General features: G+C 59.6%; 1 protein-coding gene and 1 long non-coding RNA gene across 5 annotated transcripts, besides 12 other annotated features; one reads left to right on the top strand and one right to left on the bottom strand.

Annotated features, from left to right (window-relative positions):
- MAN1B1-DT (MAN1B1 divergent transcript) lies at nt 69-1,940 on the top strand. The gene has a single exon (NR_027447.1). It is a non-coding gene; the product is annotated as an MAN1B1 divergent transcript (long non-coding RNA).
- Nucleotides 318-547: a silencer, noted in NCBI's record as "silent region_20578". NCBI's record gives its function as "represses an Ori minimal core promoter by ATAC-STARR-seq in GM12878 lymphoblastoid cells {active_cell/tissue: GM12878}" and the evidence as "EXISTENCE:reporter gene assay evidence [ECO:0000049][PMID:35858748]".
- UAP1L1 (UDP-N-acetylglucosamine pyrophosphorylase 1 like 1) lies at nt 2,348-9,369 on the bottom strand. Of its 4 annotated transcripts, NM_207309.3 has the most exons (9): nt 9,065-9,369; nt 8,632-8,836; nt 8,209-8,384; nt 7,738-7,910; nt 7,437-7,630; nt 6,744-6,884; nt 6,012-6,197; nt 4,822-4,888; nt 2,348-4,249 (listed from the first exon to the last, which is right to left on the bottom strand). In NM_207309.3, the coding sequence occupies exons 1-9, from the start codon at nt 9,351-9,353 to the stop codon at nt 4,157-4,159; spliced, it is 1,524 nt and encodes a 507-aa protein (NP_997192.2). In that variant the 5' UTR covers nt 9,354-9,369; the 3' UTR covers nt 2,348-4,156. The 4 variants fall into 4 exon arrangements, with proteins under 4 accessions (NP_997192.2, XP_047280022.1, XP_006717380.1 ...); XM_047424066.1 differs by having other exon boundaries at nt 8,632-9,369; XM_006717317.4 differs by lacking the exon at nt 2,348-4,249 and having other exon boundaries at nt 4,256-4,888.
- Nucleotides 3,133-3,367: a silencer, noted in NCBI's record as "fragment chr9:139977971-139978205 (GRCh37/hg19 assembly coordinates)". NCBI's record gives its function as "represses an EF-1alpha promoter that drives an FKBP-Casp9 reporter gene in an ReSE screen in phorbol 12-myristate 13-acetate-treated (for megakaryocytic differentiation) K562 erythroleukemia cells {active_cell/tissue: K562(+PMA)}" and the evidence as "EXISTENCE:reporter gene assay evidence [ECO:0000049][PMID:32094911]".
- Nucleotides 3,133-3,474: a biological region, named in NCBI's record as "ReSE screen-validated silencer GRCh37_chr9:139977971-139978205".
- Nucleotides 3,145-3,474: an enhancer, noted in NCBI's record as "active region_29342". NCBI's record gives its function as "activates an Ori minimal core promoter by ATAC-STARR-seq in GM12878 lymphoblastoid cells {active_cell/tissue: GM12878}" and the evidence as "EXISTENCE:reporter gene assay evidence [ECO:0000049][PMID:35858748]".
- Nucleotides 7,767-8,645: an enhancer, noted in NCBI's record as "H3K27ac-H3K4me1 hESC enhancer chr9:139972693-139973571 (GRCh37/hg19 assembly coordinates)". NCBI's record gives its function as "activates a minimal SCP1, AML or CMV promoter by ChIP-STARR-seq in naive H9 embryonic stem cells {active_cell/tissue: H9 hESC(naive)}" and the evidence as "EXISTENCE:reporter gene assay evidence [ECO:0000049][PMID:30033119]".
- Nucleotides 9,007-9,106: a silencer, noted in NCBI's record as "silent region_20577". NCBI's record gives its function as "represses an Ori minimal core promoter by ATAC-STARR-seq in GM12878 lymphoblastoid cells {active_cell/tissue: GM12878}" and the evidence as "EXISTENCE:reporter gene assay evidence [ECO:0000049][PMID:35858748]".
- Nucleotides 9,117-9,176: a silencer, noted in NCBI's record as "silent region_20576". NCBI's record gives its function as "represses an Ori minimal core promoter by ATAC-STARR-seq in GM12878 lymphoblastoid cells {active_cell/tissue: GM12878}" and the evidence as "EXISTENCE:reporter gene assay evidence [ECO:0000049][PMID:35858748]".
- Nucleotides 9,187-9,436: a silencer, noted in NCBI's record as "silent region_20575". NCBI's record gives its function as "represses an Ori minimal core promoter by ATAC-STARR-seq in GM12878 lymphoblastoid cells {active_cell/tissue: GM12878}" and the evidence as "EXISTENCE:reporter gene assay evidence [ECO:0000049][PMID:35858748]".
- Nucleotides 9,447-9,536: a silencer, noted in NCBI's record as "silent region_20574". NCBI's record gives its function as "represses an Ori minimal core promoter by ATAC-STARR-seq in GM12878 lymphoblastoid cells {active_cell/tissue: GM12878}" and the evidence as "EXISTENCE:reporter gene assay evidence [ECO:0000049][PMID:35858748]".
- Nucleotides 11,991-12,604: an enhancer, noted in NCBI's record as "H3K27ac-H3K4me1 hESC enhancer chr9:139968734-139969347 (GRCh37/hg19 assembly coordinates)". NCBI's record gives its function as "activates a minimal SCP1, AML or CMV promoter by ChIP-STARR-seq in primed H9 embryonic stem cells {active_cell/tissue: H9 hESC(primed)}" and the evidence as "EXISTENCE:reporter gene assay evidence [ECO:0000049][PMID:30033119]".
- Nucleotides 12,221-12,280: an enhancer, noted in NCBI's record as "active region_29341". NCBI's record gives its function as "activates an Ori minimal core promoter by ATAC-STARR-seq in GM12878 lymphoblastoid cells {active_cell/tissue: GM12878}" and the evidence as "EXISTENCE:reporter gene assay evidence [ECO:0000049][PMID:35858748]".
- Nucleotides 15,188-16,167: an enhancer, noted in NCBI's record as "H3K27ac-H3K4me1 hESC enhancer chr9:139965171-139966150 (GRCh37/hg19 assembly coordinates)". NCBI's record gives its function as "activates a minimal SCP1, AML or CMV promoter by ChIP-STARR-seq in naive H9 embryonic stem cells {active_cell/tissue: H9 hESC(naive)}" and the evidence as "EXISTENCE:reporter gene assay evidence [ECO:0000049][PMID:30033119]".

The following is a 16,223-nucleotide window of genomic DNA, read 5'->3' as shown; positions in this document are numbered from 1 at the left end:
GCGTCCTACGGCGACTGCGTCAGACAACTGCTGCGACTCCGCCCTGCCCTCAGGTTCATTGCGCATGCGTCCGGCAGCGCCTGCCCAGGTGTGCTACGAGCGTAGCTGTAGCAACGGGGCGGGCCTTGGTTCGCCTGGGGCGTGGTCGCTGTCTGGGGCTCCCACGTGGTTCGCCTCATGGGCCTGGAGCTGGGCTTCTCTCGCCTCCTGTCGTCTGGCTGCACCGACTTTGCCCACGCCCTCACGGGAGACGCAGACACTAGGGACCCGGGGAGGCGCCCGGGCGGGGCCGCCATGTTGGCAGAGAGTCCCAGCGTCCCGCGCCTCGGTTCCGGAACCCGCGGCGCGGGGATGGAGCTGGGCTGCCCTTGGGCGCCGTCCTGGGCTGGTGCCCACCCTGGCCGCGTGGTCACCGGCAAGAAGCCCAGGGCCTCACCCAGGCGTGGGGGCCGGGGGAAGGACCGGACCCTCCCGAAGTCGCGGACCAGGCCGGGCGGCACCCGGGCTGGGGTGGCTGCTACCCCGAGCTAAGCTGGCTGCGCCGCATCTCACGGTCCCCGGGGCCCGAGCGCTGCGCCTGGACCGGCGCCGAGCGAGGCGGCCAATCGGCCGGCTGGACCCACAGTCCCCGCGCCATAGGCGGGTCGGGGCTTTCAGACCCGGCTCCCAGCCCTCGAACTCGGTAACCTTGGAGGTCAGCTTGAGATGACTGCGCTTCCTGCACGCGTTGTCCTCCCCAGAAACGCCCAAAATGGCAAAGCGGCGTCCGTGGCCGCCCGAGGCCCTCCCTGCCTGGGTTCTCCCCAGCCGAACCTCACGCCCGGCCCCTCCTTCATTCTCTCCTGGCCAGGCTGCTCCTGCCCTTGGGCGAATCCGCTGCGTCCCACGGTCCTGACTGTGGCATTTCTGCGTGTCTGGAGAGCTCCCCCGGCAGCGACGTCCTGCTTAGCACGTGGCTCGTCTAACTCTGTTCCCCTGGCCTCCTGCTCTTCTAGGGGTCATCTTTAGGTTTCTGCTGGTCTCTGCCCCCTGTGACACTTGCTGGTACCCAAATGAAGTCGTTTATGTCACACTCTAACAAGAGGCCCTGAAGAAGCCCTCACAAAAACATTAGCAACGGAGCGCCTGCGGCAAACCCTTCTAACCTTTGGTCTTTATGGTTTCAAAGCAGTTTATGGGAACTTCTCTTTTTTAAAAGATTCCCCTTGGGGCCAGGCGCGGTGGCTTCTGTAATCCCAGGACTTTGGGAGGCCGAGGCAGGTGGATCACTTGAGGTCAGGAGTTCAAGACTAGCCTGGCCAACATGGTGAGACACCCGTCTCTACAAAAAACACAAAAAAATTAGCAGGGCATGGTTGGTGGCAGGCACCTGTAGTCCCAGCTACACGGGAGGCTTAGGCAGGAGAATTCCTTGAACCCAGGAGGTGGAGGTTGCAGTGAGCCGAGATGGCACCACTGCACTCCAGCCTGGGCAACAGAGCAAGACTCTGTCTCAAAAAAAAAAAAAAAAAAAAAAAAGAAATTTCCCGTGGGCGGGGCACAGTGACTCATGCCTGTAGTAATCCCAGCACTTTTGGAGGCCAAGGTGGGCAGATCCCCTGAGCTCAGGAGTCCAACCTGGGCAACATGGTGAAACCCCTGTCTCTACAAAAAATAAAAAAATGAGTCCAGTGTGGTGGTGTGCACCTGTGGTCCCAGCTACTCTGGAGGCTGAGGTGGGAAGACCACCTAAGCCCCAGGAGGTCGAGGCTGCAGTGAGCCATGATTGCACCACTGCACTCCAGCCTGGGCAACAGAGTGAGATCCAGTCTCAAAAAAAAAAAATTCCCCCTTTCCTCAATCCCCACCCCACCCCCCCACCACATGCCTGTGACCCACTGAGGCTTGCATACTCTGCATTGCAATTATGTGTTATTCTTGATTAAATTCATTTATTCTGGAGAGCCTGAGTTTCTCTTTAGGTTGACACCACTCACTCTTGTCAGTCCCTGGAGTACCCCAAGCATCCTCACGTGGTTAGCAGGGAAACCTTGGCATCTCAAGGATGCAGGTGCAGGAGAGCGAGTCTCCAGGCTGTCAGAGCTGAGCATGCAGAAGCCTGCCCTGGAGAGCGCCCCGAGGTTCCTGACCGCAGGTTGTCTCAGGCCCTCCTGAGACCCTGGTGAAGAGTGGGATGGGACCGCGGGGGGATTCCTTGGCACCCCAAGTAGTCTTGGCCTTCATGTGTGAACTCCTGTCCCTAAGGGGGCCCCCAGTGAGCTCCAGCCCTGGGACACAGCTGTGAACACCTGATCCTTGTTCCCAACACCCGTGCACTGCCCAAAAACTGCACTTGCCAGAGTAGCAGTCAATTACGGCACCTTGTGTTTATTGGAAATATTCCACCTACAGAACATTAAGATGCCAGCAACCGGCCCGGCGCGGTGGCTCACACCTATAATCCCAGCACTTTGGGAGGCCGAGGTGGGTGGATCACGAGGTCAGGAGATCGAGACCATCCTGGCTAACACGGTCAAACCCCATCTCTACTAAAAATACAAAGAATTAGCCAGGCGTGGTAGTGGGTGCCTGTAGTCCCAGCTACTAGGGAGGCTGAGGCTGGCCTGGAGGTTGCAGTGAGCCAAGGTCACGCCACTTCACTCCAGCCTGGGCAACAAGAGTGAAACTCCGTCTAAAACAAACAAAAAAAAAGACTTCACCCAACTAACTGTGCTTGTGTAGAAAGAGGTTGCATCCCTGTTCCAGTCATGGCCATGAGGAACAGCTATGAGAAGGGCCCTAAGGCACAGCATGGTTTGCAGTAAGAAGGGCAGAGCCAGGGAGAGAGAAGTAAACATCATCTTCTGGGCTTTGGTTTCAAAAATCACAAGGTGTGGGCCTGAGCCTGCTGCCTGCCCAGGTCTGGGCGCCTCCACTCAGCCACTGTCCTCCCAGTGCCTCTAAATCTGGAAGGCTGCATCTGAACCTGCCCTTCCAGACAACACCCCTCCCCTGGGAAACCAATGGGGATGAGTAGTGGCCCTCCACTGGGGACTGTGGGTTTCGAGGTGGGGGCAGAGGATGAGTTGGCAGCAGTGGCATATCATAGCTCTCTTCATGTCAGCAGGGAGAGGGAGGTGCCACTGCCTCCCCTGAGATGAGAAAGCAGGCGAGAATCACCAGGGGAAGAACCCTGGGGCAGCTGGCTTGTCCCAGCCATGCCTGAGTGCACCAAATATGGAGGCTGCGTCCTCACTCGGAGAGCCAGGCAGCCTGAGCACCAAGATCCGTCAGAAGCAGCAGGCAGCTGGGGTGAGGGGTGGTGCCTCTGACTCATGAAATCCCGGATTAGTCAGCAACCATCACAGAGGCCGCCGGCATTGATCCCACTGGTTCTTGGGGAAGCACAGAAAACTCAGCAGCCTAAACCGACCATGGAAGAGGCTGAGAGGCAGAGGCCTTGGGGATAGATGGGGAGAAGGCAGGAGTACCGGCCGCAGGCTCAGGTGTCCAGGCCAAGCTTCTCAGAGCCACCTGGATCATGGACATCAGGCTCTTTCTGTGGCCTTGCTGGGCATCCAGGGTGTGTGGGCTGGGATGCCCCAGCCTTGCCCCCATTACTGGTTCGTCTGCTAAGGAAGAGGGGGCAGCCCTCGAGTGGGTGGAATTGTCCCCCTCATTCTGGTTCTGCATCTGTAGGCTGCAGAAGCACATCCTGTGTAGCTTATGCAGCTTCTAGTGCTCGGTGGGGTGTGGTGGATCCACAAGGCGGGCTCCCAAAGGGACATGCCCTCCTGTTCTCCCCAGATGACACCACACCTCCCTTGGGCCCCAACCCGAAGCCTCCTCTCAGCCCCATTCTCCCAGGTCCCAAGTCCCTCTGCCTCTTGACTAGACCCCACAGCCAGGAATGGAGCCACAGAGCCCCCAGCAGGCTGTCGCCACTTGTGTCCAGAGGCGACAGGAGAGGCCCTGCCCTCGTGGAGTCTACCAGCATGTTTCATTCTGTGTTCTGCAGGCTGGAAGCATGGGGCAGGCTGCTTTCCCACCCAGAGCTCAGGCTGGGCTGTAGCCCCCAGCTCCAGGACGCCGGGGCTGGCAGGTCTGGGGGGAGTCGGGACTTCCAGGATGCCGGGGCTGGCAGGTCTCGGGGGAGTCTGGGGACAGTCTGGGCGGGTCAGGACTCCTGCAGCTGCGGCTCCCTGGCCTGGTCTTCATCCAGGATGAGCGGGGACTGGAACTCCCGGCCTTGCAGGTACACTTCTAAACCCTGGAGACGAGCAGGGGACAATGGCCAAGTACCCACCTTTTGGCGGGTCACAGCCCCTCTGGCCACACCAAGAGCCACAGTCCCCAGGTGCGATCCCAGGTCTGCCTGGAGTCAGGGAGGGGTGGGGACAGAAAGGCTTCCAGGGCCAGGAGCAGACACACACTGCAAGGCCACCCAAGACCACACTCAAGACCCTAGGCCAGCAGGGGACCCTCCTGTCACGCACAGGTCTGACCTGACCAGAGAAAGGGGCAAGGGCAGCCGAGGTCAGGGAGGTAGCAGAGGCCGGTGTCCTCCCTCCGCAAGGCCCCCACCAAGGCCTGACTGGCCCCACACTGGGCTCAGACCTGGGCTGTCTCATCCCCATGCCCTCCCAGGACCTGCAAAGGCCTCTGGATGCCTCACCCCACCCCAACCCATATCTTGGAAAGTCTTCTGCAAATTTAAACCACCGACCCCATTGGTTAACCGAGGTAGAGCTGTGCCGTCTCCACCCGAGCAGCCACCTCTCCCCAGATGGTATTCCAAACCTGACACCAGAAAAGCCCCAGATAGGGATGGGCAGCTCTCACCTCTCCAGAGTAAGACACCAAGGGCGATATCTCACAGATGGCCGGAGGGTCTCCATTTGGGGGCAAGCTAGGGAAAGTCCACTTGTCAATATCTCCTTGCAGCACCTGCCCAGAGCCCTCCCCCAGCACCCCCAGTCCCGATAGGAGACTGAGCTCTACACACCTGGCTCCCCACAGCTCCTGTCTCAGCAAGCTCATCTTCCTCTGGACACCCCAAACCCTGAGCACACATCCCACTGCCAAGTGACAGGACCTGATTTGGGGTAGAAAGCACCCCCACAGGCCTCCCACGCAGAGCCTAGGCAGCTAGATTTAGGGGTGGCCCTAGAAAATCAGGGAGATGGAAGCCAAACGTCCTTTTCTTTCCCAGCCCTGAAATCAAACTGTCCTGCTACTTTCTAAATTCATGCCCGGGGCTCAGTTTCAAAGCCTGTGAATAAATGGGAACAACGTTGGTTGGGTGATGGATCCCCTAAAAGCCCTGACCTGACTGACCAAAGTTGCACACACACCCCACAAATGTATACAAATAAGAAAAATAAAAATAAAAAAATAGCCGGGTGAGGTGGCTCACGCCTGTAATCCCAGCACTTTGCGAGGCCGAGGCGGGCAGATCACAGGTCAGGAGTTTGAGACCATCCTGGCTAACACGGTGAAACCCTGTCTCTACTAAAAAAAAAAAAAAATACAAAAAAATGAGCCGGGCGTGGTGGCGGGCGCCTGTAGTCCCAGCTACTCAGGAGGCTGAGGCAGGAGAATGGCGGAAACCGGGGGAGGGTGGAGCTTGCAGCGAGCCGAGATCCCACCACTGCACTACAGCCTGGGCGACAGAGCGAGACTCCATCTCAAAAAAGTAAATAAAAATAAAAATAAATAAATAAAAGCCAAATCTAAGTATGCCTTTGTAAACAAACCAAAACCTTGTGGATAAGTTGGGGAGGGAGTTGGGGAGCCCCTGCCTCCCTCAGTGCACTGAGCACAACTTGAAGGGTCGGGCCAGGAGGCTGTGCCGACAGTCACCGTGTGACCTGGAGCTGGCTGGGCACAAGGCTACCTGCACCTGCGGTGGTGCCGGGAAGGAAGACCCCTCCCCAGCATGGCTGTCGCAGAGCCAACAGGGCTCTGGAGCTGAAGATTGGGTCCTGACAGCCCTCCCCTTCTGGCTGTAGCTACCCCAGGGCCACACTCACCTGGGCAGCTCTGGGAGCCAGGCCCCATGGGCATCCAGGAAGCGGGCCCCGGCCCGCAGAGCCCACCGGTAGTGCTGGGTGAGCAGGGCCTGGCGAGCGGTGCGGGGACTGTCCCTGTCGGCTGGCTCTGCGTTCTTCAGTGGGGAAAATTCCTCCTCCCGCAGCACTTCCAAGGCAGCAAAGTTCCTGGTGGGGAAAGGGCTAGTCACCCACGTCCCAGCACAGAGGCCCTGATCCGGGCAGGTGAGAGCTGGGCCAGGTTTCCAGTGACAGAGTGAAGGTCTGGTCCCATGGGCAGCAAGTCTAGGGAGGAGCCCCCGCAGGTACTGAGTGTTTTTGCTCCTGAGACGCCAGGGATGGCCCAATCCCAGCAGCCATTTCCAGCAGCCGAAGGCCCAACCCTGGGACCCCTGCAGTGAGGGCCAAAGGCCCTGCGAGCCGCCCTGGCAACCTGGCCAGGAGACCTCTCCTAACCATGGGTGGGGGCAGTGGAAGGTCCGGGAGGTGGCACTACTGTCCTCCCAAGTCCACAGCCCCAAGGACTCCCTATGCCCCCACCTCAGGGGCTGCTTACCCTCAGGGCCAAGAGCACCCTCTGGTCTTCTCCCTGAGACTTGCCCGCGGGGCCCTTGGCTCCCTCAAGCCTCTACTTCCCTACCAGCTGCGCCTCAGTTCCCACCACCAAAACTGAGAGAAGGAAGAAGGGGAAAATAAATGAGTTCTACTACTAACTTAGCAAACCGGAACACATCAAACACAAACTTCTCCATCTTTATCCCGTTCGGTTTTAGCGGCTTTACCAGATTCCCCTCCTCATCCACATACGGGACCTTCTTCACAGCCACGTGTGGCTTCAGCAAAGGCTCAAACTCCCTGGGGCACGGGAGAGCAGAGGGGAGGAAAGAAACAGATCAGATATGGCACCGCTGGGGGCTCTGTCCCCACTTCTGAGCACACCCAGCTGGGTGGGACAGGATGGCAGAAGGACACTACAGGGCACAGAAGCGGCAGAGTAGGGCCAGATCTCCAGGGAGAAGCAGGCACAGGCCTCCTCCCTGCATCCCTGTGCCAAGTGCCAGGCACCATCAGCCACATCCCTGCCCAGGCAAACAAACTGGCAAGCCCCAGAGCAGAGGTAGCACCCTGGGCACCAGGGCAGGTCCCCAGAAGGAGGAGATGGCAGACTTGATCACAGAGCCTTACAGCAGCTGCCTGCTGAGCACGGCTTGTGCCTGATCTCCAGCACCTCTGCCTTTGCAAGCTCAGGATCCATTCTCCACCCCGACCCATCAGCCGTGCCTGACCACAGCCACTCCTGACCACAGCCGCTGTGGCCCAGGGCACTCAGCTCACTGGGACCCCGCGGGTCCCTGGTCAACGCAGGCGGCTCTGGCCGGCAATCCGCAGCCACCTGCTGCCGCACACCTGGTGACCGCCTTAAGGAAGCCTCGGGTGAAGAAGTGGTTGCAGATGTTGCCTGCATTGTACAGCAGGCTCCCGTCGGAGGCACGTAGCTGTGCGGTCTCAGGACTGATCTCGCTGTACTCCACCACCTGGGGGACACCGTCCACCTGGCACACCACGCCCACGGGCTCCTCGGGGTATGCCTTTTCCACCACCTGCAGCCAAGACCAGGGATGGGTTCCGAGGGCTGGGCGGAGGGGCGGGGCTCCGTGAGGGGCGGGGCCAGCCTCGGGTGCGGGGCGCCGCGCAGTCGGGCGCTAACCTTGGCGCCACAGTCTGCGCCCTGCAACACACAGAAGCCGATGAAGACAGGGTCCGCCAGCCGCACCAGGATGTTGTCCACACAGTACACGTGCACAAACTCCACTCCCCGGCGCTCCATGTCCTCCAGGATCTTGTGGTCCTCCAGCGCGCAGTAGAGGCCCCCGTTGCCGTCTGCAGACGGAGAAGGGAATGGGCATCGCGAGGGCTCCCGCCAGGGATCGCTCTGGGAGTCTAGGACGTGCTGGAGGCGGGGGAAGCCCCGGCCTTGTGCCTAAGGCAGCCCTGGTCACTAACCAGACAGCCCAGTTGGTGTACCATGTGACAAATGACGATCAAGGCCCAGAAAAAGAGGCGCCTAACCCAGGACCACACAGCCTCGGGGCAGCCGCGAACCCGGGCGCGTGGACCCCCAACTACGCTCCCAGTTCTAGTCTGGGCGGTCCCTCCCCGTCTCAGGAACGGGCCACACCTGGGGCCATGGCAACTTTGTCTTTCCGCTCCAGGATAACCTTGCCATCAAAGGTCACAGCAGGCAGCAGGCGCTGCTCAAACATGACCACGTTGGCGGGGTCCAGGTGGAAGAAGTTGTGCTCCCTGAAGAACTCGGCCGTGGGCCCCAGAGTGAACTCGCTGGTCATGACGTACCTGCAAGGGAGGCGCGGTGAGCCGGCCGCGAGTACGCCTGGCCCTGCAGGCAGACGGGGCTCGGACCAGAGCCGGCATCGGGGTTCGGGGTCCAGTGTCCAGTTGGGGCTGGGGCCAGGCCCCATTTTGGGCCGGTTCTGGGCAATGTCCCGGTCTGTGCCGGGGTTGGGGCTCGCGTCTGGAGCGGGGATGTGGGGGGGCGTGGGGAAGGGTACCTCCGGGCCGAGGTAGGGCAGGCAGGACACACCAGGGGACGGTGCAGCGGGTCCCGTGGCGCTCACCGGCCAGCTGCTCCACCCGCCGAATCCGCTCCGCCTGCAGCTGGTACAGGGTCTTCCGGCTGGGCAGCCCCACACGGTACATACCCTTGGGGTAGGTCACGCCCAGGCGAGTGCCCTGCCCCCCAGCCAGCAGCAGGACGGCCACCTTGTTCAGAGAAATCTGACGGAAACCTGGGGGTACGGGCGCCGTGAAGGGACGCCCGGGACCCGCCCACCCTTCCGCTTTAGGGGAAACCAACTCTGGGGCTGGGGCGCCAGGACTCGGGGGCCGGAACGCGTGAGGCGAGACACGTCTCAAAGTAGCGAGGAGAACTACAGTTCCCCGAGCGCGGCCTCGGTTCCCACCCGCTCCGTGGGCACGACCCCCTGCCGGCCCCCAGGGCCTCCCACCCCGCTTACCTTCCTCCTCCCAGCGCCGCCGTGTCTCGGGGTCGCTGCGGCTGGCCCTGCCCACGCGCTCTGGGGGCAGGGGCCGCAGGCGCGCGGCCAAGTCGGGCGGCGGGCCGTGGGGGCGCGCGCAGGCCTCCGCCGCCCGCCGGCAGTGCTCGCGCAGCGCCTCGGGCTCCAGCAGCGCCAGCTCCGCCAGCAGCGCGGCTCGTGGCTCCGGCGCCAGCTCGGCCCAGAAGCGCAGGAGGTGCTCCTGGCCAGCGCGCTGCAGCCGGGCGCGCACGTCCTGCTCCGAAGCCATGTCGCCGCTGCCGTCTGTCAAGTCGGCACTCGTGACCCGCGCCACTGACCAGCGTCACGAGACCGGGCGGGCGGTGTAGACCCCCCAGTGGGGCGGGCCCCGGGCGCCCCGCCCCGCCCCGCCCCGCCCCGCCCCATCCCGCCCGGTCCCGCGCCCTGCCCTGGAGCCCGCCCACCCCCGCTGCGCACCCCAGACTCTGTCCGGGTTCTCTCTGACCCCGCCCTGTCTACATCCCCCCAGCCCCCCCGCGTCCGGTCCGAGACTCGAGACAGGGCCCAGCCCCATCTCTCCAGCCTGTCCCCCGTCCCTCTCCGTCCCCTGGACCCGCTCCGGTGTCTGGCCCTGGCCTGCTCCCTCGAGCTCCCGTCCCCGTTCCTGCTCTTCTCCAGGCCCCGGGCCCATGCCCGCCCTGTCCACTCCGCGCCCCGCCCCGAGAGATCCCAGGACCCTCTGGGTCGCGCCAGCTGGCGTGGGCAGAGGAATCGACCATTGAGCTAAGGGAGGAAGAGGCCCCAGGGACGCCCCGCAGGGGAAAGCTAGGTTCTGTCCCAGCACGGGCTTTGAACCTGAGAGTGGCATGGCCACCTTTGCGCTAACCAAGACTTGGACGGAGACCTCCTGGTGCAGAGACAACCGGCCAGAGTGCATTGAAGAGGCCTGGGCTACGGCTGAGCTGTTGGGAGGCTGGAACCAGACCAGGTTCCGGGATGCCATCCCGCGGCTTGGGGCTCCCTCCCGCACACCCTTCCTGCTTCCCATTGCCTGGTGACCAGAGCGCTCTGCAGCCCCTCGCCCACATTGTTATTTTACTATCAGGTTTTAAAATATCTTGCTTGTGGTCGGCGCGGTGGCTCAAGCCTGTAATCCCAGCACTTTGGGAGTCCTAAGTGGGGTCAGGAATTCGAGACCAGCCTGGCCAACATGGTGAAACCCCGTCTCTAATAAAAATAGAAAAATTAGCCGGGTGTGGTGGCAGGCGCCTGTAGTCCCAGCTACTCGGGAGGCTGAGGCAGGAGGCCTTGAACTCAGGAGGCGGAGGTTTCAGTGAGCCGAGATCCTGCTGCTGCACTCCAGCCTGGGAGACAGAGTGAGACTTCTCAATAAAAATAAAAATAAAATAGTTTGCTTGTGAAAAATATGAAAGGGTAGCTTCTGCCAGTTGGGCACAAAACTTTCTCCTAGAAACTATATAGTAAGTCTAAAAGTAATATATGTGACTGCATAAAAGAATTCAAATGGTGGCCAGGTGCAGTGGCTCATGCCTGTAATCCTAACACCTTGGGATACCGAGACAGGATGATCGCTTGAGCCCAGGAGTTCAAGACCAGCTTGGGCAACATGGTGAAACCCCGTCTCCACTAAAAATACAAAAATCAGCCAGGTGTGGTGGCGTGTACCTGTAGTCCCAGCTACTTGGGAGGATGAGGCACGAGAATCACTTGAACCCGGGAGGCGGAGGTTACAGTGAGCCAAGATCGCACCACTGCACTCCAGCCTGGGTGACAGAGCGAAACTCTGTCTCAAAAAAAAAAAAAAAAAAAAAACCGGGCGCAGTGGCTCACTTCTGTAATCCCAGCACTTTGGGAGGCCAAGGCGGGCGGATCACCTGAGGTCTGGGGTTTGAGACCAGCCTGACTAACATGGAGAAACCCTGTCTCTACTAAAAATAGATACAAATATTAAATATAAATATAAATATATAAGCATGGTGTTGCATGCTTATAATCCCAGCTACTCCAGAGGCTGAGGCAGGAGAATCGCTTGAACCTGGGAGGCGGAGGTTGCCATGAGCCAAGATCGCGCCATTGCACTCCAGCCTGGGCAACAAGGGCGAAGCTCTGTCTCAAAAAACAAACAAACAAACCGAAAAAGAAAAACAAATCATGCTGTTACAGGAAAGAGGTTCCAGACCTCAAGAGAGGGTTCTTGGATCTTGCGCAAGAAAGAATTCAGGGCAAGCCCATACAGTAAAGCAAAAGCAAGTTATCAGGAAAGTAAAGGAATAAAGAATGGTTTCTCTACAGACAGAGCAGCCCTGAGGGCTGCTGGTTGCCCATTGTTATGTTTTTTTGGATGACATGCTAAACAAGGAGTGGATAATTCATCCCTCCCCTTTGTAGACCATATAGGGGAACTTCCTGACGTTGCAGTGGCATCTGTAAACCGTCATGGTGCTGGTGGGAGTGTAGCGGCAAGGACAACCAGAGGTCACTGTCGTTGCCATCTTGGTTTTGGTGGGTTTTGGCCGGCTTCTTTATCGGAACCTCTTTTATCAGCAAGGTCTTTGTGACCTGTATCTTGTGCCGACCTCCTGTGTCATCCTGACTTGGAATCCTTTAACCATCCAGAAATGCAGCTCAGTAGGCCCCAGCCTTATTTTACCCAGCTCCCATTCAAGATGGAGTTGCTCTGGTTCACACACCTCTGACAGTGATCTAGGACCCAAAATGAAAACTAACATCTCCCTCATGCTGCCCCGTGGACCCCTCAGGCAGTTGTGTTTCCTTGCAGTTGGGTTCTGCCCCCACCTCCACACACATGCCCTCACTGAGTTTGGGAGGGGGCTTCACCCCTGGGGCAAGGCCCACATGCACTCTTCTGGACCTGCATGGAGTTGCTTTTCGGGCCTGCCTCAGGGTCTCTGCACTTCCTGTTCCTCCCTCCTGGACCGCTTGTCCCCAGAGAAACGTGTGGCTGGGGACGCATTTGGTCAGGCCTCAGCTCCCCAGGCCACGCCCACTCGGTGAGCACCTTCCCATCCTCCGTGCCAGGCTGCCTTTCTGCATTCTTGGCTACCTGACTCCCCTGTGAGAAGCGAACCCCACAAAGGCGGGGAGTTGCTGTTTTTGTTTTGTTTTGTTTTTTGTTTTGAGACCGTGTCTCATTCTGTCGCCCAGGCTGGAGTGCAGTGGTGCAATCTCGGCTCACTGTAACCTCCGCCTCCCGGGTTCAAGTGATTCTCCTGCCTCAGCCTCCTGAGTAGCTGGGATTACAGGCGCCCGCCACCACACACAGCTAATTTTTTGTATTTTTAGTAGCGATGGTTGGCCAGGCTGGTCTTGAACTCCTGACCCCATGATTTGCCCGCCTCGGCCTCCCAAAGTGTTGGGATTACAGGCATGAGCCACCGTGCCCAGCCCAGGCAGGGCATTGTTTAGGCCAGTGGTCTGCCCCCATCACCTCAGGTAAATGCAGCACACAGTAGGCACTCAATCAATGTTTGTTGATTGAACAAACGAGTGTTGAACCCCAGCCCACACCGTGACTGGGCAACAGCAAATGTTCAGGGAGTACCTGCTGCATGAATGAATTAATGAATGGCCTGTTCTGCTCCAGTGGTTTGTGGTGGTTGAACATCGTTTAGGTGAACGTTGGAGTTGGAGGGGAGGCTCGCGGAATCCGGTGAGCAGAGCAGGCTTCCCGCCCCAGGCCAGAGTCCATGGGAACCCTTATCACCCCTGCAGGGCTGGGCAGCAGAGGAGGCACATGTCTCTTGGAGGCAGGTGTCAGGACATGAACTGTTGGCCCTGTAGGTCAGGGTGATTCCAAATCCCACCTCAAGGTGTGGGTTGGGCTGTAATAGAAGATTTGGAAAATCAAGGTTTGTACAGCCAGAGGCACTTGCGGCACCAGAAGGGGAGGAGCGACCCTGCCCAGACCGACAGAGCCTACGGATGGGTGGGAGTGCTGGCAAGGCTGAGGTGGGCAGCAACCTCCTGGACCACCTTGTGGCCAGGCAGTTGTCTTCACAAGAGGCCCAGGGGAGCAAGGCCCTAAGGCTCAGAGGCCAGGAGTGCAGACGGGGAGCCCTGGGAGGCTCAGGGGCTGGGTGGCTGTTGCCAGTTCTTCACTTGGTGCCCACTGCTGGGGATACATCAGGGGACAGAGGGGCCGGTCTTCCTGCCACCTCTGCCCAGAGTGGTCCAGGCTTACACAGTGAGAACACAATTACAGCTAAGATGGGGCCTCCAAAAGTACAGGGACAGCATGGGACCCCCAGGGGTGACACAGCACTAAAACCTGAAGGATTGGGAAACTATCAGGCCAGCCGGAAAGTGGAGTGAAGGAGGAAGTGGTCAGAGCTCAGGACAGGAAGGACACAGGACCACATCTTAGCTCCACGCCCAAAGCCAGGCACAGCCTCCAGTCTTTTTTTTTTTTTTTGAGACGGAGTCTCGCTCTGTCGCCCAGGCTGGAGTGCAGTGGTGCCATCTCGGCTCACTGCAAGCTCCGCCTCCTGGATTCACGCCATTCTCCTGCCTCAGCCTCCCGAATAGATGGGACTACAGACGCCCGCCACCACGCCCGGCTCATTTTTTGTGTGTGTGTGTGTTTTTAGTAGAGACGGGGTTTCACCATGTTAGCCAGGATGGTCTCGATCTCCAGACCTCGTGATCCTCCCGCCTTGGCCTCCCAAAGTGCTGGGATTACAGGCATGAGCCACCGTGCCCAGCCTTTTTTTTTTTTTTTTTTTGAGATGGAGTTTTGCTCTTCTTGACCAGGCTAGAGTGCAATGGCGCGATCTTGGCTCACCGCAACCTCCACCTCCGGGGTTCAAGCTATTCTCCTGCCTCAGCCTCCCGAGTAGCTGGGATTACAGGCATGGGCCACCATGCCCGGCTAATTTCGTATTTTTAGTAGAGACGGGATTTCTCCATGTTGGTCAGGCTGGTCTCGAACTCCTGACCTCAGGTGATCCGCCCGCCTTGGCCTCCCAAAGTGCTGGGATTACAGGCGTGAGCCACCGTGCCCGGCCTCCAGTCTTTTTCATACCTTCCTCCAATACCCAGCCAGGGGCCACAGAGAAGCCCACAGACCAAGGGCCAGCTGGGGCCGCCTCCCCCAAGGCTCTGGATGGTATGAAAAGCCCTTGTTTCATCTGCACGGTGGGTTCAGTTCCATGCGGGGCCATGGCTGGCCTGGCCTGGACACTGCTGGCCACGCTGTCCTGAGCTGCAGCAGCCTTGCTCACTGCTGGCCACCGACTCCACATCCACACTGGCCTCCCCTGCCATACCACTGAGCTGTTCCCAGCCCTTCCCCATCCCTTAGGCCTCAGCCTGGCTTGGTGCCCACTCAAGGATGGTGTTTCCCATATGATTTCACTGGATACGGCTCCCCAGTGCCATTCACAGAGCACCCACTGTGGGCCAGGCCAATGCCAGGCCTAGAAGGAGCCCTGTCCTGCTTGCAAATAGCCAGGGCCCCCTGGGCCAGGAGAAAGCTGTCCCCTGTGTTTTATCTAACTAGGCTTCAGGGGGAAGGGGACTGGGGCCAGAGCAGAGTTCTGAAGGATGTAGTGCGGTCAGCCTGGAGCAGAGGGGAAGGGCCTTCCTGGTAGAAGAGCCACCAGGCACAGGGGCCTGGAAGTGAGGGAGTGCAGGGACCCCAGGCCTGGCACTGGCGGTGAGGGGTGTGCTGGAAGCAGGGTAGGTGTGGGGATGGGGGGGCGGGGGCTTGCGTGTTGTGCTGGTTTGTTTTGTTTTGTTTTGTTTTTGAGACAAGATCTCGCTCTGTCACCCAGGATGGAGAGCAGTGGCTCAATCACAGCTCACTGCAGCCTCAACCTCTTGGGTTCAAGGGATCCTCCCACCTCAGCCTCCCAAATACCTGGGACCACAGGCATGCACCACCACGCCTGGCTAATTTTTTAAACTTTTTGTAGAAATAGGGTTGCCTTATGTTGCCCAGGCTGGTCTTGAACTCCCCAGCTCAAGTGATCCTCCCGCCTCGGCCTCGTGCTGGGTTTTTGAGCAGACCAGCCATTAAAGGGGAAGCTGGCTTACAGGACCAAGCTCTGATGGGCTGCTCCAGGCTCAGAGCTTCTTATGTCCTTCCAGCATTCCCTACGATGAAGGAGTCCCACTTAGAGTGAGTGACCCAGAAGAGAAGTGGACCCAGGATACTCCCTGGCCTGGGAAGATGCCTCTACAGCTTGAGACACAGGCACCAGTGGCTCAGGCCTGAGGACAGAGACCCAGGTAGGTATGCCAGCTGAGGCCTGCCCAGGAGGGAGGGTGGGAGACCCGCAGAGGGCCAAGGCAAGTCTCGGATTGGGGGCCTGTCTGGGGAGGGTGTTTGCACCCTGAACACCTCCCTGGAACCTAGAGGGTACTACTGGCCAGCCCTGAGATGGGCTCCCAGGGCTAGAACCCAGGCTAAGGCCTGGTCTCACCTCCCATGTGGACAGACCAAATGAAGACAGAGTGACCAGATCCCAGCTGGAAACACAGCAGAGGCAGGGGGACAGGGCTGCGGGAGCCAGGAGAGCAGCTGGAGGAGGTGTCCAGCCAGGGGAAGGAGGAGAGGAGAGCAAGAGGCAGAGGGAGCTGGTCACTAGATGGGGATCTGGGGACACAGGAGAAAGTGGCTTTGTTCTGCAGCAGGCAGGCCAGGCCAGACTGTCCCGAGGGACCAGAGGAGGAGCCAGCAGCAGTGGGGACAGAAAGGCCTCTGTGAGTGGGAAGCGCCCAGCTGGCTGGAGCCTACGATCCTCTTGGGGCCCTCCTGGTGGAAGAGAAGGGGGCCGCAGGGTCACCTGTGCTTGCGGCCAGGGAACTAGAGGGGAAAAGTGGGATCTTTGGAGGGGGTGCCCCCCCCCATTCTTACCCCACGAGGCTACCTGGAGACAGGTTTTTTTGTAGGGTGCCAGGCCCCGCCCCTTGGAGAGGTGGCCGGGGCAGCCAGCCACAGCTGGATCCGAGAAAGCGCCTGGCCGCGGCAGGAGGTTTGGTGGGGCTGGGGCGGGGCAGAAAGGAAGGTCTGCGAGGCCAGAGTGGAGCAGGAGCTGGGGGATCCGGTTCCGCCTGCCCAGGGCCTCCGCGCGCCTCCCAGGGCCACTCGGCAAGAAAAAAAAAAAAAAAATCAAAC

The sequence above is a fragment of the Homo sapiens genome, chromosome 9 (assembly GCF_000001405.40).
Source record: "Homo sapiens chromosome 9, GRCh38.p14 Primary Assembly".
NCBI classification, from domain to species: domain Eukaryota; kingdom Metazoa; phylum Chordata; class Mammalia; order Primates; family Hominidae; genus Homo; species Homo sapiens.
The sequence above is the reverse complement of the archived record's forward strand: the minus strand, read 5'-3'. Positions and strand labels throughout refer to the sequence as shown.

Coding starts and splice junctions, on each gene's coding strand:
- UAP1L1 (XM_047424066.1), bottom strand. CDS start 9,353: ATGGCTTCGGAGCAGGACGTGCGCGCCCGGCTGCAGCGCGCTGGCCAG. Junction 7,911..8,208: donor CAAAGTTGCCATGGCCCCAG/GTGTGGCCCGTT, acceptor CTCCGTCTGCAG/ACGGCAACGGGGGCCTCTAC. Junction 6,885..7,436: donor TTCCTTAAGGCGGTCACCAG/GTGTGCGGCAGC, acceptor CCCGTGCCCCAG/GGAGTTTGAGCCTTTGCTGA.